At 35.6% G+C, this 22796-nt stretch overlaps 1 protein-coding gene and 1 long non-coding RNA gene across 4 annotated transcripts in view, besides 2 other annotated features; one reads left to right on the top strand and one right to left on the bottom strand.

The window, feature by feature from the left end:
* Positions 489–818: an enhancer, noted in NCBI's record as "active region_25791". NCBI's record gives its function as "activates an Ori minimal core promoter by ATAC-STARR-seq in GM12878 lymphoblastoid cells {active_cell/tissue: GM12878}" and the evidence as "EXISTENCE:reporter gene assay evidence [ECO:0000049][PMID:35858748]".
* Positions 1056–22796, top strand: part of SKAP2 (src kinase associated phosphoprotein 2) — a 209821-nt gene continuing 188080 nt past the window's right edge. For 2 of the 3 annotated variants that reach the window (XM_017012771.3, NM_003930.5), the window contains exons 1-4: positions 1056–1283; positions 10756–10861; positions 11484–11509; positions 21509–21616. In XM_017012771.3, the coding sequence (XP_016868260.1) occupies positions 1217–1283; positions 10756–10861; positions 11484–11509; positions 21509–21616 (307 nt within the window). In that variant the 5' untranslated portion in view covers positions 1056–1216. Of the gene's footprint in view, positions 1284–7922; positions 8196–10755; positions 10862–11483; positions 11510–21508; positions 21617–22796 lie in introns of those variants that run through there. The other variant, NM_001303468.2, reaches the window with a different exon arrangement.
* Positions 7623–8224: an enhancer, noted in NCBI's record as "H3K27ac-H3K4me1 hESC enhancer chr7:26897041-26897642 (GRCh37/hg19 assembly coordinates)". NCBI's record gives its function as "activates a minimal SCP1, AML or CMV promoter by ChIP-STARR-seq in naive H9 embryonic stem cells {active_cell/tissue: H9 hESC(naive)}" and the evidence as "EXISTENCE:reporter gene assay evidence [ECO:0000049][PMID:30033119]".
* The window catches only part of LOC124901606 (uncharacterized), a 51980-nt gene continuing 37288 nt past the window's right edge, over positions 8105–22796 (bottom strand). Inside the window, exon 3 of the long non-coding RNA XR_007060265.1 lies at positions 8105–8182. This is a non-coding gene — a long non-coding RNA (uncharacterized LOC124901606). The remainder of the gene's footprint in view (positions 8183–22796) is intronic.

Genomic DNA, 22796 nt, shown 5'->3' with positions numbered 1-22796 from the left:
AATAATGAAAAAGTTTGAAATATTGTTAGAATCACCAAAATGTGACAGAGACATGAACTGAGCACATGCTTTTGGAAAAATGGCGCCCACAGATTTGCTTGATGCAGGGTTGCCACAAACCTTCAATTTGTTAAAAAATGCAATATCTGGGAAGCACAAAGATGTATGCCTGTTAAAGGTTTTAAAGAAGCCATTTTTTTTAAAAGAGAAAACTTTTAAGAAGCTTTACAGATAGAAGACAGTAAGTATTTGTTGACTAAATGGTCAAGTTGGAGTGAGCAGATTTTATAATTTTATTCTACTAACCACCACCAGCAATTTTATTTTTGATGCTTGTAGATGGACAGTGGTGCCAATGTCTATTCGGCCTTCTGTTTTTTTGTTTTGTTTTGTTTGTTTTTTCCTGCCAAAGGACGGTGCTTAGAACTTCCCAGTCTTCCTTGTAGTGGGGAAAATCTGTCACCCCAAGGATACGAATTAGGTAGAAAAGTAATGTAAGAGCCAATCACAACGCGCGCTCCGGAGCGGCTCCAGACTGGCTTCGCCCGGACGACTGGCGGAAGACGAGACTTCGTTACCTCCGTTCAATCGGACAAAGAAGGCCATAATAGTTTAGGACAAGAGAAAATTCCTTGTGGGTTAAACTGCGGTGGGACTGACTGTTACGCAGAAGGCGTAATCGCAAAACTTGTATACACTCTGTATCATGGATACATTATTTTCTGGAATCCTGCAGAAACGATCAGCAGTTGTGATGGCACCAGTACCGAAAATGGCTGTAAGGCGCTCCGGACGCTGGATCAGGTGACGCAGCATCAGGTGACGCAGCCTCAGTCCGCCCCCTTCCCACCAGTGGCTCCTCCTCCTGCTTCCCGGCGTAGCGGTGGGCGTGGCTTGCCCACAGGCTCTTTCTTCTGGGGCCGGGAAAACCGAGGAATACACATGCGCAGTTGGACCCCTCAGGCCCTTCGTGTCCCTTCCCACCCATCTCCCCGCCCCGGCCCTCTGGGCGGGGCTGGGCCGACAGTCCAGCTGCAGCTCGCTGGAGATTCAGTGACTTCCTTGTTGTGAGCCCCGGCCCGGCAGTGTCCCGACTCGTAGCCCCGCTGTTCTTAATCCGGGCCGCTAGCCTGAGTCTAGGTCGCAGCCGCAGCCCCACCCCGTCGGTCACCTTTTCAGCGCAGGTCCTTTCCCCGCACGCCCTGCGCTCCCTAACATGCCCAACCCCAGCAGCACCTCCTCTCCCTACCCCCTCCCTGAGGAAATTAGGAACCTGTTGGCAGGTAAAGAGCGGGAAGGCGGCGATAATGCTGTCGGGGCGGGGGCGAGGGAACGGTGAGCCGGTGGGGACAGAAGCATTCAGAGCCCTTATCCTCCCTCCCCGCGCTTCCCACGTCTTCTAGCCAGTGGGGTCGGCACAGGGAGGAGAGGAGAGGGGTTGTTTTGTCTCAGAAAGGGAGTGGACGTGTGTGTTGAAATTTGGTGCGGGGATGGTGGCGAAGCCCTTTTTGGTGATCTACACAAATGGGATCAGGACGTTTCTATGTGCATTGTGAAGACGGTGTGTGTGTGTGTGTGTGTGTGTGTGTGACAGAAGGGCGGGGGAGGAAGAGTGGAAGAGGGAGAGAGAATGATAATGATAATGAATGCTGCGTGAGCAAGCAGAAGGGAGCAGAAGTCAAATAAGTAGTTCTTGGGTGGTCTGGCCAATGGAGGTAGAGGATGTAGAGATGCAAAGAGCTGTCAGAGCCACAGGTGTTAGGGGTTATGGGGTGAAAGAGTTTGTCATTTCTAAAACTCCCGTTTTTCTTAAACATTCAGCTCACTCACGTTTAAGACTTTTGAAGAAGGTCTGGTTCTCAAATGGCCACTTGTCCCCAGCCTCAGTAATATATTAAAGCAAAAAAGGAAGGATATGTTAAAGTTCTACTTCCTGTGTGACACGATGAAAGTACTTCATCTTTGTACCCTTATCTTCCCTTTTTCAGTTTTACATTACCATTTATAGGAACTTATTTTAGGAGCTAAAAACGTGGTTCTTCAGTAGCATTATGAATCCACTACTAGTTCATTAATTTACTGGATACGGAGGTGTGTATGTTCACTAAGAACCAATAATTTATATTTCTGTACAAGGTAGAAAATATATGTTTTTAAGGTAGCACAAATCTTACCTATCTCAATGTTCTGGAATTTCAACCATCATTTATTTTGTCTTGTGTACGTCAGAATTCTGGAAACTGAATTTTGATTTTTAGTTTTAGATGTCTATAAAATATTTATCTCTCAGTATTGCTTATGAATAACTAGATTACAGATTGCTTATTCTAGCTCTTAAAAAGCAATGTCATCTAAAATGTGACATTTGATGACACATTTTATATGTTACTCCTATAGCAATGTGAGTCCAAATCTCCTAATATTCTGTCATTCAATTTTGGTGCTTGGCATTATTAATATGGTAGTGTAATATTAAGTGTATGAATGTAGACTTATGTTTGTATGATTATGGTACAGTATGTTGAATGCATTTGTGGTGGGATAGTCTTTCACTCTAAGAAATGCTTGTTGTCATTAACGGGTACCACTAAGGGAAATAGTTAAAGAAGTCTAAAGACTGACTTCAGGCAGCTTTATTGCATCACATGACTACTGATTTTGTTTTACTACACTTAACATTTTTTGTTTTTACAATGCTGGAATTGTTTGTTCAGAATATTATTGTAATAACCAGCGCAGAAAAATGTTTATCATTATTCCAAAAATAGATGAAACCATTTTCAGGATATTCTATGTCTGTATTTTTGAATTTAAGAAATAACATATAGACCTCTGGGTGCATGTTTTAAAGCTTGGTACCTCCCATAGTACAGTTTGTTATTTGGATCCATAATCATAAATCACAGATAATATGATATGTAGGTCATGAGAACCTTTATTCTCTTATCCCCATAGATCACAAGTATTTCCTGTGGCCCTTATTTGTGTAATTTAACTAAAAACTCAAAATTACATATTTAAATTATCTGCCAATGCTAACTTCCAATATATTTCTGCCTTCTCTCTTTAGTCAGGTAATATACTAGCATAGCATCTGAAATTATTTTAAGTCATTTTATTGACATTTTCACTATTTTATATTATTAAAGCAAATCACATATTAAAACACACATGAAGTATTAAAAAATATTACAATTAAAACTTTTGGAATTGGAAATTTGGATTACACTTTATTTTCAGAGGATATTTTCAAGAAGTATGGAAGTGAGTTGGGGCGTATTTATGTTTAAAGAAATTTAACAAATCAGTGTTTTTCAGGTTTTAAAAAAACTTATTTGGAAAGTTGCTAACATTTTATGTTTGACTGTAATTAAAATCTTTTTTGAGGTAGAGAACGCTTCAAGAATAGATGCTGTCAGCAATTGTTTCATGTATTTCATCTAAAAATATTGTTAGCATTGTACATGATTCTTTTCATAATTCAAGTGTATTGGGTAATAGTATATGACTAGATTTAGAGTAACATTATAGAAGTATTTATATTGGTTTGAATATTAGAGATATTGCTGGCTTATTTAGTCTATTTCTTTGAAACTGAGGAGATATTGGTAATGGTGTTGTAGTTAACAGTTGAGTGCTCTTAGAATGCATGGTACTATGCTAGAATTCCAAGGTAGAGAAGATAAGGAACTAAACTTTTCAGGGGTTTAAAGTCCTTTGTTTTTAGAAAGAAGAATATATAATCAAAAGATAATGACTGTTAAAATAATGTTGCTTAGATGTATCTGTTTGTGTTCCATATGCCTATTAAACTAAATCATTATATGTCATATGTACTGTTTGAAATTTCACCTGCTTAAAAGGGATAGGTACTCAAGTGTATTCTTATTTATTATTTTTCTTTCTCTTTATTTTTCTGTCTGATTATGGCAGTTCTATGCTATACTTTCAACATTTGTTCCCTCTCCCTTTTTCCTTCCCCTATAAAAACCATTCCATAGAAATGTAAAAAAAAAAAAAAAAAAAAAAAGAGGTTGTTATTGTTAACTCACATGTGTTGTGTAAAGATACCATTGAAAAAGTGGCTATCTAGTTTGATTTTTAGTTATATTTTCTGTGGAGTCAGTCTTGAAGACCTATGCTTTTTATAAAATGTTGATTATTCTTTTGGTTATATGAACAGAAAAGGACTTACAGAATTTCGTTGTTGAAAGCAAATTTTGAGCTGCCATATGCATTACAGGCAACCTTTGATTTTTTTCTTTTCTACAACAATGGAAAAACAGGTTTAGCCTGGATAATTGAAATCAAAGGACAATCCCAAATCTTGTCCATTTAATCTTCTCTCACATCCAAATATTTTGACTAGGACTAGCAGCAAGAATAATCTTGATTTATGTGATTTTTTTTTTTCTCTAGACAGGCAAGAAAGTAAGAGGAACTAGAACCACTTCCCTCCAGCCTCCTTCATTTGTTTAATCACCCTTTAAATAATGGTTTGTTAGTGGCTTGCAATCAGACCTTCTCATTCATCCTCATTCATTTGTTTTAGGACAACAAATTTTAAAAGGAAAGCTCTAAGAAGATGTTATTTTCTGTTTACTAAATTAGCAAATGAAACCATTGTTAAAAGAAGAAAATAGTGATTGTTAGTGCTCTGAAAAATCAAACCAAACCAAACAAACAATAAATAAGTGATCTTGAGGTTTTGTTCACATGGCACTCTTGATTAGAAATACCACATTTTCCCTACTGGGAATTTTTAGAACATTAGAAAATTTTTTCCCACACATTGATTATAATGTGTGAATATTTTTTTCACACAATATTATTTAGGGTATGTAATCAGTCCCCTAAAGGGATTCCTGTAGGGGCACTAGGTGAAGAGTGCAATTTATTTGAAATAGAGGCAGAATTTTTTCAATGCTGAGTATATTACGGTTTAATTTCCACCTTTCCAAAGTTCCATTTATAATTTGGTCAACATTTTGGTTTTATTTTTCCTATGAGAATTATTTATGGTGTATCTAGTGTCCCATAACTTCCTTCTGGGACATTGGCTGAGTATGTAAAGGGAAGAGTGCCACCTACTGAGTCACCAATAGTCACCTACCTCCTTAGCACCTGGGTTTTCCTATGGAGCAAGAACAAGCCTGCCCCATTTGGGCAGCAATCACTAAAGAGCATAAAGTTGATATGAGAACATTTAATCTCAAAATGAAATCTATCGTACCTCCAAGATATTCTTTTCTAGAAATAGGAATATATGTAAATTAAGGGACTAGAGGTTTACAGAGTTTTTTGTATGGGCTAAATAATATAGATGAATTAAGATGTGGTGTTAGGAAAATTATTTGCCTATTTTAAGTATATAATGTCCTGCTTTTTCTTGGGAGGAGATCTTTTGGCATGGCTGTCCATTGAAAGTATTTTCATCTCATTACTATATAAGGCTCTTGATACTACGTACAGTTTTTATAGCTACCCAATCCAAATTATCATTGGTTTTCTTCAAAAAGAAGAATCTAAACATATTAAAAAATTAGCATTATATGAAAAATTTGCAAATGGGCTTATTGCTCCTGTTACCAGCATTAAAGTATTACTAGAAAGAAGGTAGACACAACAGAGTAGGAAAAGCTGCTGGTGATTTGAAACACAGTTTAGTTGTCTCATAAATTTCAGATTAAGTGTCATATATGGGTGATAAAAGTGGCATAGGCTAGATTTTATATACTCATGATTCACTTAGTTTGTCTTTTTCAATTAAAGCTAAGTCTCTTTTTCATTCCACTGAATTTACATTTCTTTTTCAATCACATTCTGAACACATTACAATAGATGCTGCCTAAAACTGAATATAGTGTAAATCTCAGACTAATGTGTTATTCACTGTGGCTTCTTTGAAAATATGTAGTAAAAAGATTTTGATTATTGTAAGGTGCTATTTATCAAGAGTCATCTTTTAGGGTTGAAAGATGTTCAGCCCTACCTTTAAACAGCCCAGCTTTCTATCAAAATACATCATTTAGCTTCCCAAAGTCAATTTTGGAAATTTTGTCCAATGATTGGATTGTAAGACTCTGGTATTTTTTACCCATTGTACCATGAGAGCTCTTGTGCCAGTTCATGTCACCTTTTCCATGTTTGAAAAGTCCACAGTTCATCTGTAACCTGTAAAAGTGCTAAGTAATCAGGGAAAGACATCAGTTAGAACAATCAATAACTTTTCAATTAGCCATTTTCCAACTTTGGGCATTTGGCTCTGTTGATTTGCATGTGCCCAGTTTAATTGATTTTTATGTTTATCAGTACCTGTTTGGTCAGAGCCATACCCTGCTTTAACAGAGAAGAGCATGTCTTTTTTTTTTTTTTTTCCTGATGGTAGCTTACATTCTAGGGTAGGATCCCTATCATATTAAGTTTGGTGACAGCACATCTCAATGAAAGCAGAGAGAAATCTGGCCCAATTCACAATGTAGAGAGAGATGTGGAATTAAGTTAGAAAGGCCATGGGGGTGCTGTGTGATTGGTTTTACCTTTATTTTATTGATCTGCGGCTAAGCATATGGTGGTAGATTCAGCCCAATTCTTGCGCCCTCCCCCTCCCCCATACAATTCAGGCCATCACAGAGGCTGAGTGTGTGTATATGCATGGGCCAGGAGGTATTGGGTGGTTGGAGGACTAGGCAGGAAGAGGAGGTGTTACCTTTGTGACTTGTTTTTAACCTCCAGTATGCAAGCCCTATTCTAGGCTGTTTGATAGTCGGGGGTGGTGAGGACAAGTGGCCAAACTGCTTTTCAAGAGTGGGAATCTGTGCTAGATACTACATCCAGAAGCTGAGAGTTACTTTATCATTTGCAAAAAAATTTAAACTGTTCTGACCTGGTGTAGTTCCACCTTTTCACTATGTGATCTGTGTAGAAGTTGGCAGAAAGCAGTTAGTGTGTGTGTGTTAGATACTTGTCCCAACCACTTGCGACTCCAGGGAAAGGTGGGGTGGCTGTTTTTTAGGAGGTCTATATGTTAAAAGGGGGGAAAAAGGAAGATTGGAGTACTATTCAGTGATTTGGTGTGTTTGCCTCTTAGGGGTCTCCATGGCAATTGAGAGATTTCTAACTTAAACTGCTCAAGATTGCTGAGCCAGTATACGTCAACTTTTAATTTTGTTTTCAGACCTTAACATTTATCGACAGAGCAGTTGTAAATCTGATCTTTTCAGAGGCCTTCTCCCCCAGATCCTTACAGCTGTACCGTGAGATAAGGTTTACTCTTGACAGTGTTAAGGTGTATTAGGAGCTAAAATCCCATCACGTTTACTTTCACCAGGATAACTTTTTCCTGCTGATGACTTGGGCTGGGGTGGAGGCTGATGGAGATAGGGGTAATTCTGGGGTTAAATGCAAGCAGTGTAGACTCTGCAGTCTATTTGGCTGCCGGCCCGGAGGCAGGAGATGGGGGTGGGTGGGGGTAGTTAGACCTGGTAGTTAAACCCTTTCCCGCGGGCGCAGAGTGGGCCTCCCACGCTTCTCTCCCGTGGCCAGTATGCGTGAGAGTGTGAGTTGAGCCCCTGCCTCCGAGGAAGAATTCTAAAAACCGGGCTAAGGGTCGAGCGAGGGAGGCTGACCTTTTCTTGTTATCAAATTACTGCGTTTCCCTGAATTACGGGCACTCAGGAATGGTGAAATCTACATATTAACCGAGGAACACGACCCTCAAAGGAAGGTAGAAGAAGGCTAACGCTCTTGCTAGTTTACTGTGCTTGCTAGTTTACCGTTTGCAGGGCTATTTAGAGCACAATAAGAAGCTTCAAATCTCTTCTCCAACCAGCCAGAGGAACACTTGATTCGCCCAAGACTCTTATTGCTTGCTTTTGAAATATTACCCTGGCTCTGAGCTACAAAGCCACAGATCCAGCCCCATTTGTCTAGTGAGGGCTCTGCCCCAGACCCGGCTCTCCATGCTCACTGCTCCGCCTGAGAGGAACCCTGGGGTTTAACGCTGAAGTGCGTTTCTCAGAGGGCAGAGCTGGAGCATCTCGCAGCCCTACAACTTCTTTGCGGCGCTTGGTCTGTCTTTGCGTTGCGAGATCAGGATCGGTGTGTTGCTCAGACACCGGCCGAACGCCACCGGCACGTCTAGGAGTCTCCTGTGCCTGGAAGAGGCTGGTTTCATTCGATTCTAAAAGAAACGGGTAAAGTGTAGATTTTAAGAAATAACCTAGATTTCAAAAGCTTAAAAACCAACCAAGTTTGGTTGTGGACAGTCAACAAACTAAAATTATTTCGGGAACTGCTTCCAGTTTAAAGTTTTTTTTTTTTTTTTTTTTTTTTTAAGCAAAGCAGTTTCTACTCTCTCCACATCACCTTTGAGAAATAATCACGAAAAAGTCACTGTTTATTAAATAATTTTAGTTGCTTTAAACCTTTTCTGGGAAAAGCTTAGGAATAAGTATATTAAAAAAGGCTACTCTAAAAAAAAAAAAAAAAAGACCATACCCAATCTCTGAATTTCTGGCATCCTTGAAAAATACCGATTCTTCCTACAGTCCCACACTCTTTCAAAAAAAACTTTGTCATAAAATAGTAACATGGATCAGTATTTTAAAAACATGTTTGGGGGCGTTAGAGGGCACTATGTAGAGTGTTTATTGCAGCCTTTTTTTTTTTTTTCTGAATTTTTATAAAACTGAAATGACCTTTTAAAGAAAAAAACTCTTGGGGGCAATTCATTGTTATTACTTCCAGTGATAGAAAATAGATTGTTTGTTTAAACTTGGATTGTATAATGAAAATATAAAATAGGCAATTAAATACTCATGGAAGAGGAAATCAAAGGCAAACATTGAGTGAAAATAACATTAAGCAGACTATTCCCCAGTCATTGGGCCAGTGATTCTTCCTATTGAGTCTGGTTGGAAGACGAATCAGCAGTAGGGATGTTGCTTCTTCCCTTATTCCACTTTCTTGCAAAAGTTACTGTAATGATCTCAGGGGAGCCAGTGATCTTTTCCATTTCAGCTAATATCGAAATATCCAAAGGTTGCTTGCTGTTCTGGGCACAAAATTTAAAGCTTTTAGAGCAACATGCTTCTTCATAAGTTTTGTTATTTTGAATTCACTTTAGAAGTCTGTGTCTAATTTGCACTGGTACTAGATTATGTCTCTATGTCCCCCACATCAAAATATAACTCAAAGAAAGAGAAGCTGTGACATTTGCTTTCATTTCATTTTCATACTTTTTTTTAACACATTAGTTGTTAATATAACTCAAGGAAAGGGAAGCTGTGACATTTGCTTTCATTTCATTTTGATACTTATTTTTTAATACATCAGTTGTTAATATAACTCAAGGAAAGAGAAGCTGTGACATTTGCTTTCATTTCATTTTGATACTTAAATTTTTAACACATTAGTCGTTAATAGACTTCAAACCATAAGCTATTTTTTTTAAATTATTACAGTATTCTTAATTATTTTACTTGTCATATTGACTTAGTGAAAAATTACCTGTACACATTTATTATGAATGTATAAAAGTTTAATTGGCTTTCCTCATTGGATCAAGATACTTTTGTAATCAAGAATTACAAACATTCTATCACATATACTAGGTTTTAAATGGTTAATTGTAAGTACAGTTGAAAGATTATTAGATTATTATACTACTTTGAACTATTTATACGTAATATTGTTTTGATGCTATACAAAGTAGTTAAGGAAAAAGAAAGTAAAACACAAATCCCTTCCATATGAAATAATCAATGATTTATAGCCATGCCTACTTAAACATCTTTAATGATATCCTCCATATTAGATATTTCAAAATGAGGTGTGAAATTCTGAAAATAAAATTAAAATTGCACAGTATTTCATGAATAATAAGAATGGAACTAGTATAAAAATTAAACCTGTAAGGACTTGTTGGAATTTTACACTAGAGAGACCCAGACAGCACCGTAATTTAGAAGTTTACTAAAATTAAAAAAAGAGGCTATGAGGGAATGTTACATGAAGCCACAGAAATCTTGTTTCTTGGTGACTATATTTTTATATAGTGGAAGAACTTATGTTTGTACTTCTTCCTTAAGAAATATTTCAGGTGGTAATACCAAGGCAAGAAGCAAGAGCTCACAAAACTACACAGCTGGTTATCTTTTTTATTTGAGGGTAGTCAGAATGAGTGTGTAGGTAGGAAGAAGGAGGGCTTGATTTGGGAATCTTGGCTAGAAAAGTGGATTTACTTTTTCCTTTAAAGCATTACATGTTGGATATACCTGAAAATTGATTATACTAGGGAAAACAGACCCTTGCCAGAGACATTAGCTTGTATTGACATAATAATATGAATGACATTTTCACACAGGAACTTACAAAATACTAGAAAATGATATTAACACATGCTTAAAAGCTTGGTGCTTGCTTCCATATAAAGAATTTGTTTTATGGGGCACCATAGTTTATTAAAACTTGGTGTGTGCTTCTTCCTTGTTTAATGATGCCAAACATCCAAATAGTATTTGCTGTGGTAAGCATAAGTAGAACTTACAAATTTTATTAGCTAAGTGGTGATCAGATTTGTTCAACTTAGTATTTGAAACACACTTCAACTGTTATGCTTTGGAATGATAAATAACTATAACAAATTGTACAGGTATTAACACTTATATGTAGAAACAATCATTGTCCTATTTATCTTCACAAAACCTTTATTTCTTATAATTTGTATCCTGTTTCTTATATTGCATGGTTTAGATGTTGAAACATTTGTAGCAGATATACTGAAAGGAGAAAATTTATCCAAGAAAGCAAAGGAAAAGAGAGAATCCCTTATTAAGAAGATAAAAGATGTAAAGTCTATGTAAGTCACTTACCTTTTGTTTACTGATTTCTTACATAGAAGCAGTTTTGTAACTAACATTTTAATAAGAAATCGATTATTATGGAGTTAAATTTTTCATGTTCCAGTTTAACTGATGTTAAGTATTTTTGAAGGGCAAAAAATATATTTCCACTATATAGTTTTTAAACACAGATATGCTTATCATAGTACCCTTCTTGATTATGTATTTTTCTGAGCATTCTAGCAGAGTTCAGCTGTTTATTTTGATTATCTGAGGGTATATTTGGTTTAAATGATAAGACAAAGGTGGATTGAGGACTTTAATATACAGAAAATACCTGACACTGAAGAAAGAGAATTCTTTTGTTACTACTTTAAATGAATAAATGTAATATATTTACATGTCATAAGTATTAAAGATATATCCTCATTTTACTACTGTACTTAGATCCTTAAAAATTATTTTATTTAAAATTTTTAAGCATTTTGGAATTGTCATTTCAGGACAGGAATTAGTTTTTTTCTAATGTATATCTAGGTGTGTATTTTTAATATAGATTTTGGATTTTAATTATTGTTACTGATTAGACCTTGTTTTGATTTTTCAACCTCATTTAAAAATATGTTCTTTGTTTTGTAGCTATCTTCAGGAATTTCAAGACAAAGGTAAGTTTTCATGTTTGGCAAACTTGAAAATTTTTTTCCTCTGTGGAAATTTTCAATAGGATAATCTAACACATACTGAAATTTGATAGTTGGAATTAAAATTTAGATTTCCGTAATGTGTACTTAGACCTTCAAGATGAGAGTGCTAGCTCCCCCTGCTGAGAAGAAAATTAAAAAGTATATCCAGAATTTACTCTGCACAGTCTTCTGATGCGGAAATCTTAGGCATTTAACATTCTTAGGTTTTGTGTTTCTTAGAGTACATTGTGGCAGAAATTTGTTAGGAAAGGTAAAAACGTGCAATTACACGTGGAATAACTTGGTGAAGCAGAGGTGAGATACTAACCCACTGCCATTTAACACTGCAGAGATTATTTTATAGTGGTGGTGGGAGAAGGTCCTGTGGCTGAGTGCTCACAGGTAATGTTTTTGAAGGATATTTTGAAAACAGTGTAAATTTTTGTTTGAGAACAAACAATAAAATCTTTTTCAAGTGAAAGTTTTTATTTTCCTTGTGGTTATTTTGATATGAATACATAGGGGCCATAGACATTTTTTAAAGAAGGGAATTCAGTTTCATTTTTTTTTGAAATATGTGAGAATGCTGATAACCTGATTGTCTCCCTCTAGATTTGAGAGACAGCTGCTTAGCAGACTGAAAACCAGATCAGGAAAGGTATAGGAACTTCCTACTACTTTATATATTCAATTCTTTAGGGGAAACTGGGTGTGGCCCTTACTTCCATGATACTTATTCATAGGTTATGATGTACAGCTTGTGGATGCTGGTGTGAGGGTTACAATATGAGGTTAGTTAACCTCCATGGAGCTAGGTTCTGGGTTTGAGGAAGACACACAGTATGGCATCTTCTAACTGAAGCTAGCAGATCCCAGAGTAAATCATATTTGTGCCAACTGGTAAGTGAGAAGGTGGTAACAGTTTCAATAAACAAAGAACTTAACCAGACAAACCTAAAATCAATTAAAAGGAAGTCACAGTTTATTTTCCCATTAGATCATCAAGATTGGTATGATTGAAGGGAATGAGAAGAGATTTTTTTTTCATATTAAGATTTTTAACACTTAAATAAAGAAATGAGCAGGAAACTATTCCCTGTAAGTACCCAGTTTTTTTTGTGCTCTACAAGAAATCCTAAACTATGGGTTTAATTATGCTACATTTTGTTTAGACGAATGTATAAATGAATTTATGCATTTTAATTACGATAACTTTTATTATGTAGTATACTTTATGGAAGAATATTAGATATCAGATTCTGCCTCTCTTAAAAGGCATATTATTTCCAGTGATTATCGAACTTGCATTGTGCTTTGTGGCTTAATTATTTGTACATTTAAAATTTTTAAGCTAAAAAAGCATGATATGAAGTAATTGTGTAATTGCATATGGATCAGTAATAGTTGGGAAGCTTTCCCTTTGGTATTTTGTTTTAGAATTCGTTCAGGTGTGTGGATATTAAAATTACATTACTGAGATACATTCTTTGTCTCTAAAGAGAATGGAAATTTATATGGTATTTGATAGAAATTGAAAAATGAGCATAAAATGGAGTTCAAATAGCATAGAATTTAGAGATTGCTCATAATCATTTTCCTCTGAATAAGTCATTTGTAGTTCAATACTGCTGTATTGAGTTAACTAATCACAAAGAGTGCCTGTTCAGAAGTAAGCCTGTAGATGAATTAGATGTATACCTTGGAGAAATATGAGCTGAGTACTTTTATGCCATTGTGTACTCAAAGTATATTCAGCTTTGTTCTAAAAAGACTATTCCTGTACTTTGTTAGGCATAGTAAAGGGTACAGACCTAATAGTTGCAAAGTAATTATTCAATATATAGTACATCTTTTTTAAAAATAGGAATTTATTTTCAGGTCTCTACATTGAGTAAATTCAATTCTAAGTACGTTTTGGTGGTGCTGCCTTTTCTCCACCTTACATTTTCCCTTTGAGGTTTTGGATTATCTTTATCCAAGAAGGTCTGGGCAGAAGTCCTTTTGGCTGCTTTCCCGTCCTTTCTCTTCCCTCTTGTCTCTCTCTCTAGTCAATGTAGGGTCACATTGTGAACATAACCTTTTTCCTCCTTTCTACCTTTACACCCTTATTTTATTTACATATATGCATATATGTATTTTAAATGACAGTTAAGTATCATTTTGATGTCACTATTGGGGGGGTAAAAAGGACCAGGTAGAGAGTTCTTAAATAAAAAGAGTTAATTCAGATTTATTCATATCTAATAAGTCGGTTATTAATTTCTCTAAGGCACACAGATGTGTATCATCCTTCCTTACTTCCCTCACAAATCCTTCCCTTCTACTCTAGATAATCTCCCATCCTGAGATTTAACAATACAGATTTTACAGTTTGAGGTATTTCTTTTTTTTTTTTTTTTAATTATTATACTTTAAGTTCTAGGGTACATGTGCACAACATGCAGGTTTGTTACATATGTATACATGTGCCATGTTGGTGTGCTGCACCCATTAACTCGTCATTTACATTAGGTATATCTCCTAATGCTATCCCTCCCCACCCCCACCACCCCTCAACAGGCACCGGTGTGTGATGTCCGCCTTCCTGTATCCAAGTGTTCTCATTGTTCAGTTCCCACCTATGAGTGAGAACACGCGGTGTTTGGTTTTTTGTCCTTGCAATAGTTTGCTGAGAAGACAGGGTCTCTCACTCTGCGTCTCAGGCTGGAGTGTAGCGGCACCATCTTGGCTCAGTGCAACCTCCGCCTTCCATGCTCAAATGATCCTTCCACCTCAGCCTCTGGAGTAGATGGAACTATATAGTAGATGGAACTATAGGTGCTTGCCTCCATGCCCAGCTAATTTTTTTTTTTTTTTTTTTTTTGGTAAAAACGGGGTTTCGCCACGTGTCACAGACTGGTCTCGAGTTCCTGGGCTAAAGAGATCAGCTGCCTCAGCCTCCCAAAGTGATGGATCACAGGCATGAGCCACCCTGCCTGGCTGTCAATTCCTAAAATTTAAAATTAATTGAGTTGATATGGTAGTTGAAACACTAGGCTGCATAGATCTTAGGAGATTTTTTTGGTATTTCCATTTTTTTGGGTGAGAATAGTTTACACTGGTAGAAACTCGTTTTATTACAGTGGCTTCTAGATACTGAAGCTTGTGTATTAGGCTAATTTTTCACTTGTTTATATTCATTTCCATAGAAAGCTATTGTTTTAAAACTTTCTTTTTCATTTATTAAAATTCTTCTTTTATCTTTACATGTGCAAGTCTTGATTCCCCTATTGAAGAGATCTGACAAATTGCCGCTTTAGAATAATTATCAGCTGATTTTCTAAATTCCTTAATTTTACTTGTACTTAGGAAAGATTTGAATCTAATCAGCTAGAACACTTCTTGCTTAGTCTAGTCCTTGTTATTCATTTGAAATATTGCTTGTTTTATCTGGAACAGATAGTTCCTTCTTATATCCTTCAAAGTATTGTACGTGACAGAATAACCTAGTTTCTTTTTTTCTTTTCTTTTTCCTTTTTTTTTCTTTTTTTTTTGAGATAGGATCTCACTCTGTCATCCAGGCTGGAGTGGAGTGGTGTGATCATGACTCACTGCAGCCTCAGCCTCCCCCAGCTCCTTTGGGAGGCTAAGGTGATCCTTTTTCCATTTAGCCTCCTGAGTAGCTGGGACTATAGGTACGCTGCCTGTGTATTGTATTTTTTTGTAGAGATGGGTTTTCGCCATGTTGCCCAGGCTGGTCTTGAACTCCTGGGCTCAAGAGACCACCCGCCTTGGCCTCCCAAAGTGCTGGGACTTACAGGCATGAGTCACCATGCTCGGCCGACAGAATAACCTAGTTTCTAACCGTAGATTTTTACTTGCAATATTGCCTCATATTATAAAGTATCCTCCCGAATTTAGGCTTCATGCACTGGAATTATGCTATGTGATTATTTCAGCATTGTTCTCTATCACATAACAAGGTCATAGGTCTCTTAGTTGACTTGAAATAATTATTTTTGCAATGAGAATATGTTACTATTTAGTAAATACTGTTATTGACTAATAAGAATTTTCTAATACTGTATATATTAAGTACATGATAAAAAAATTTGGGCTATAGTTGTGTCTTGATCATGTATTAGTCTCAGTTTTCTCCAGAGATGATTTAGGTGTGATTACTTTCTTTATAGAATGATGTACTGAAATAAGATAATGTGAAAGTACATAGTAGGTGTTTAATAAATATTAATGCATATTCTCAGATTCAACTTCATTTGTCAAGAAGATTTAAGTTAATCTTGATTCATAAATTCAGTTTTCAAACAATTTGGGGGAAAATGATCAATTATTAAAAGAAGGGCATATTTATTAGCATTAGTCAAATGTTTCATGAGATTTTTTTTTCAAATTTGTAAAATGTTAGTGTCTACAGCTTTTTTTTTTTTTTTTTGAGATGGAGTCTCACTCTGTCGCACCCAGGCTGGAGTGCAGTGGCGTGGTCTCTGCTCACTACAACCTCTACCTCCTGGGTTCAAGCGATTCTCCTTCCTCAGCCTCCCGAGTAGCTGGGATTACAGGCATCCACCACCACGCCTGGCTAATTTTTTGTATTTTTAGGAGAGACGGGGTTTCACCATGTTGGTCAGGCTGGTCTCGAACTCCTGACCTCAGGTAATCTGCCCACCTTGGCCTCCCAAAGTGCCGGGCAGGTGTGGACCACTGTGCCCGGCCTAGTGTCTACAGTTTTGAAAAAGGGGAATATACTGCTTCAGGTGCTAGAGATAGATAAAAGTCTCATTTTCTCCTTTAAAATCTTTTTGCTCTAATTGTAAAAAAAAATAGATTTTGCCTTAATATTTTATTGATATTGTTAAATATGCATAGATTTACTTAGAAAGCAGTTTCCTTTGACCTTCTCACTCATGCTGTTTCTTAAGTTTATTAATGGACTAAGAATAGCAGAATAAGAATAGCAGAAAAGTCTGAAGTTTGGATGATGTTTAATTTCCTTTTTTAACCCTTCCTAACATAGTGTGTTTTCTGTTGAACGATAACTCCACAGTGAAATCTGAGGAAATAATTCACAGCTTTTTCCTTCGACCACCTACCCCCACCATTGGCCTTGTAAAAATGTCTTAAGCATGTTTGAAATGATGGGACCTGTAGTAGTAGAAGTATATTTCACAGGCAGTGCTTGAAAAATGGTTTTTTCTTATTTTAAAGCTCTGCCCCAGTTTTGTGCCAGAAGTTGTCTTTAGTATTTGCATGCCCTCCTATTGTAGAAGAATTATGAGGAGAATCTTCCTTTCATTGACCTAGATTCTTCAGAGCCTTAAGAATGAAACTTTTCCTGAAGAAATGACAAGTTAAATGCTTAATTATGTATATTTAGCTATATATTATTACTTGAAAAATTAGACAAGTGAACTATGTAGAGAATTAGAAATTAATTTATTTTCATTAGAGTAATTTTTCCCCATTTGTCTTCCAGTAAGAAGGAATGGTTATCACTCAGATTTTAGGTACAGGTTTAGTAGTATCCCTTATCCAAAGTTCTTGGGACCAGAAGTGTTTCAGATTTTGGATTTTGGGACATTTGCATATATATAATGAGCTATCTTGGGGGACGGAACCTAAGTGTGACACTAAATTCATTTATGTTTCATATACACCTTGTAATTTTGTGCATGAACTAAAGTTTGCGTACATTGAACCATCAGAAAGCAAAGATGTTAGGCATGGAATTTTCCATTTGTGTTGTCATACTGACACTCAAAAAGTTTTGGATTTTGGAACATTTTGGAGTTCTGTTGATTTAGGGATGTTCAACCTGTATATTACTTCATTTCCTGTTTACCTGATTGTGTTTAAAATAGGACTGTTTTGAAAAAACAAGCAACAAATTGGGTAAATCAGCTTCAGTGGTTGTAGAGATTATGACTGTTCAGTTGTTGTTGGGCTACATCTCTAGGCATTTGGGAAAATGTTAATTGATAATGAACCATATCAGAAAGAATGGCTAATAGTAATTTGATCCCAGCTAGTATAAATTTAAAAATGTTTTTCAGAAAAATATGCTGCTGTAGTATGATTAAACCTTGAGTTTGTTGCAATGTTTGTTACTACTGAAATTATAGGAAGGTAAGTCTTGGATCATTGTCTTTTATTCTGTTAACTTTGTATCGTTAATTAAACTTTTGAAAGTTGTGGGATAAATCAAATGCTTTTCTAGGGAAACAAGAAACAGTATTAATGAGCAACAACCCCATCATTATCCTTGTGAGTACATAACAGGGACACATTCATGTCTTTTCTTTGTGCAATAACTTTTACAAAGAAGTATTTTTAAACTGATCATTAATTTTATGACCACAGAAATGAGATGCAAAATTTATGCTATTGTCAGTGGCACAGGCTCACAGCACCACTGACATTTTGTGTGATTGTAATAGAATGGCTGCCAACTAATGATTCTGTAGACATTTCATTTGAGTGTGCTTTTCTTTAGATGTGTGATTAGCTGTAATGCTTTCACTTATGTCTGTAAATTATATTGGATATGTTTACCTGATGCCTATTGTTGATTTGGAGTTCAGTTTTGTATTACATAAATGCAAGTTGAACTTTTTTTTTTTTAATTTATCGAAGTCTTTGCAGGTATAACTACAAATACTCAGCCCCTGGGGAGGAAAAATGCTTTGCACTACTCAACAGTAACCCCTGCGTTCAGTTAAAACTCCTTATAAGACAGCAGCTTTTACTCTTTATTGGGTCGAAAAAAAAATTAGGGGGGAGGAAAAGGGATGGACCATCACTGGAACAATGGTAAGATGAAGAAGACCATCTTGAAAAATGATGTGTCCTTTCCACTTAATGCAGGTTAAAAAGGGGCTATCCCTGTATATATAGCATATAGATTCTTTGCTCTCTGAGTTAATTCAAAGGATTATGGGGAGAAAAAAATAAGGAAGAAGTGAAGCCAGTAGCAGTACTTAATTCATTTTGTCTTAGGTAAATGTAAACATCACACTGATTTAAAAAAAAAAATACTTGCAGTGAGCTGCAATTCTTAGAATGGGTAAGTTGAAGACAATTTCATTTTAATATATAACCCAAAAGCGTTTTATTTTTATTTTGATTTTTTGAGACAGAGTCTCTGTTGCCCAGGCTGGAGTGCAGTGGCATAATCTTGGCCCACTGCAGTGGCATGATCTTGGCTCACCGCCTCCCAGGTTCAAGCAGTTCTCCCTGCCTCAGCCTCCCGAGTAGCTGGGATTACAGGTGCCTGCCATCATGCCCGGCTAACTTTTGTATATTTAGTGGAGACGGGGTTTTGCCATGTTGGCCAGGCTGGTCTCAAACTCCTGAGCTCAGGTGATCCACCTGCCTTGGCCTCCCACAGTGCTGGGATTACAGGCGTGAGCCACCGCACCCGGTCTATTTTTTAAAATAAAAACCGAAACCATGACTTTCTATAAAAGTCAAAACCATGACTTTCATAAAAACCAAACCATGAAAGCCTCTCAGGTCTTTCACCTGTTAGTGATCAGTTTGTGTAGAATAAATACTCTTTACTTTGAGTTTATAGCTTTAGTAATGAACTGTTGATATGTATGTATATATTTATACATATTCGTTGAATATAGAATCGTGTTTGCATTTGTGTGTATGTGTATATAAATGCATATATACACATATATATATGCACACATAATAATGGATGTTATCAAAGGATAATAAACTACTTCTAATTTTAAAAACTAAGTTTTAATTTTTTCTGTTTACTTCCACCTAGAATTTAATATAATTTAAGCCTGAATATCTGAATTTTTTTCAAAATCTTTGCTATATATTATTTGGTTTCACTGTTGGTTTTAAATAGTTATAATAGCAAAATATGCCACATGCTAAGTTCTAGTAATGTTTTTGAAGTATCCTAATACTTTTTTTTGCAGCAAGATTTTTTTTGTGTGAGATATGAAATATTCTTGGAAAATTCATACCACAAAAATTCTTAATTTCATTAAGAATGTAAAGATACTCTAACAACTAAGAGTAACTGAGAATTTCTTGATCCCTACTGGTACATATTCCATGAACTGTTGTAACATGATCAAAATATGTTTACTAGCACTTTATGAAGTTCCTTCCTACCTTATATTTGAAATCAGAGCACTCTTCTTTTGTTAAAAAAATTTTTTTTTAGAGATGGGGTCTTGGTCTGTTGCCCAGGCTGGAATGCAGTGGTGCAGTTATAGCTCACTGCAGCCTCAAACTCCTGGGCTCAAGCGGTCCTCTTACCTCAGCCTCCCACAGATGTGACTATAGGTGCAGGCCACCACACCCGGCTAATTGTTTTTATTTTTATTTAGAGATGTGGTCTTGCTATGTTGCCCAGCCTGGTGTCTAATTCCTGGCCACAAGCGATCTTCTGGCCTCAAGCATGCTGAGTAGCTGAGATTACAGGCGTGAGCACTGCCACCAGCCTAGCACTCTTCTTTTCATAAGAGAAATATTGTAAGGGATCATTGAGTGTTCTGAAAAGGACTTTGAACATCTGAAAAGAAAGAGAAATTAAGTTCCAAAGAATGAGTAGTATTTATGTGTTCCTTAGAATTTTAACTGTGGGAGTAACATCACCATATTTACTGTACCTAGTAGTAGAATCCCTAAGGATGACAATATAGCCATCTCTATGTTCTGCCCTTATCATCTTAATGAGAGATGTCTCTGATGACAGTTGCTCACAAAGTGGCAAAATTATAAGGAAATAGGAATATGTATTTTTAAAAAATTATTTGGACAGTGTTGTCTTGAGAGAGGCTATTTTCTCTACCAAAAATGTGGTAACAAATAGGGTGACACCCATCAAATGGGTGTCAGAGGACAAAGATACCCTTTTGGAGAGACAAGTAGCATTAATCTGAATCTGCCAGGAACTGTGGTTCAAAAGTAATACTATAGGCACTCTGCGGTTCCTATGGGGATTTTCCTTGTGCTTTAAGGGTAATCCCTGAGGTGGCTGTTTTTCTGTCAGGTAACTTGAATTCAACAGTCAAATACTTAATGTAGAATTAAGCATACTTTTTTCTTTGTTGTGAAATCCGGGTGACAAATGAATGCTTATGTGTAACTGGGCTAGCAAATATTTGTGTTTTTTTAAAAAAATTATTTTAAATGATTATATGGAAAAAATTGAAACCACAAGATCTTGTGGAGATTAATTAGCCTAAAATAGAAAAGTCAATCAAAAAATCGACCAACGAACCTAGGATTTGAAAATCAAGTTGGAAACTGGCCAGAACATTAAAAAGTAATAACATACCATTGAATGAAACTGAAAGTGTCTAGTTTGTAAATTACCCTTACTTGAATTTAAAAAGATTATGAAAATTTTAAAGCAGTTTTTTCTATAAAAGATTTTAAAAGATTTGTGCTCTGGAAAATGCAACAGATTATTTTTAATCCTCTCTAAAAATGTATAAAATGTATAAAAATGTATAAAATGATTTTATACAAAATATTCATACAGCTTCAAATTATTAGTTTCTCATCATAATTTTTCAAATTATTGAATAGGTAAATGGAATTACTTGTATTATGTTTTCTGTTGTGCTTCCTGGGTTTTGTTGTTGTTGTTGTTACTGTTATCTTGGTTTTGTTCGTTTGGATATACACTCTGTTTTACCCTGCTTCTACTTTTTGGATTCTTCTTTGTAGAGATCATCATAATTTTGGACTATATCCTTTTGTGTCATAAATAAGCAATTGTATAATGACCTTCAAAAATTCTTACTATATCTAAGTTACAATGGCTATAAAATAAAATAAGACCTGTTTTTACCTAGTTTTAAAAGTTTTCTTTGTTTTTCCATGACAATGACTCAATTTACTAGTAGAATTTACCTCTTCTAACAAAGTAACATTAACATTAAGTAACATTACTTTAAATGGCTAAAGTATAAAAGGCAGTTCTCTGATTTTTTTTTTTTTTAACAGGTGATGCAGAAGATGGGGAAGAATATGATGACCCTTTTGCTGGGCCTCCAGACACTATTTCATTAGCCTCAGAACGATATGATAAAGACGATGAAGCCCCCTCTGATGGTATGTGACATTTTCCCACGTAACTCTGACACTCACACAAAACAATGCTATATATATGGGTGGTAGTTTTATGAGAAAGCAGATGAACATAGAGGCTTCGGTTAACTTACCTTTACCAAAACCTTTTAAGGAACAGAAGAGCTCTCTCTAGTGGTTCTGGTGAGGTTTTCCTAAGTATGTAGTTGGTTCTTTTTCTTGGAAATTTTCTTTACTAAAATTTTTGAGAGAGTGCCTGTATCATCATATGAATATTATTAGTAACAGTTTGATAGTTAATTTAATATTATCAGATTCTTGCTTAATTTTATTATGCTACTTGAAGGCTTACTGTATTATTTATTTTATAAATAATAAAAAAGATTTTTGATCTATTTTTTTCTGAAAACTTTATACAAAATGAGTTAATAAAATATTAAGTTAATTTTCCGACATTGCCTCTTCACACTGAGACAGGTTTTTATCAAATGCTTCTTTTAATGCGCATTTTCATTTTTATATTGTCACTTAAAAGTGGACCATATTATGCAGTAATATTGCAGTGTTTGTATTAACTGAATTAGTAATAAATTTATCTCTTAGTAATTTCTAAAAGCTATTGAATGTTGCCAAAGTTATGAAACTTGTTTTTAGTGTAGTATGTACTTTCTCTGTTATAGCCATTGAGTACATCTGCATTATAGAAACCTTATAAGGGTAATATATAGTTATAAATTAAGAATGTGTATCAATAAATTAGTCATGCATATTAATTTGTAGCACTCAAAGTTTCACATAGACATAGAAATGAATAATACCTTCTGCCACTATGTGATGATCAAACTGTGCAGTTCCATCTCTAAATACAATTGCTGAATGAAAATATGCTTCCTGCAACAGAGCACTCCACATTTTATGTTATCCAGATTATTCCCTTTGGAAACATAAATTGCTTTTATGAGGTATAAAATTATGTCTGTTGCAGAACGGGGATAAGTCAAGTACATGCATAAGTGATAAACATTCTAACCAGTGATTCAGTACAAAACAATCTTTTTTTATATCCAGAACTTTGTACAAAGTGTAGCAATAATAGTCATATCTATTTTATGTTGAATTTTATGCTTCGGCAAACATTTAATTTCTATTTTTAAAGGGAGGGTTTTTTTTTGCTGTTATATTCACTTTCTATCTTTTAAAGAGA

This window comes from Homo sapiens, chromosome 7 (assembly GCF_000001405.40).
Source record: "Homo sapiens chromosome 7, GRCh38.p14 Primary Assembly".
In the NCBI taxonomy this organism is placed as follows: Eukaryota; Metazoa; Chordata; class Mammalia; order Primates; family Hominidae; genus Homo; species Homo sapiens.
Note: the sequence above shows the minus strand (reverse complement) of the source record. Positions and strands in the feature narration are given on the sequence as shown.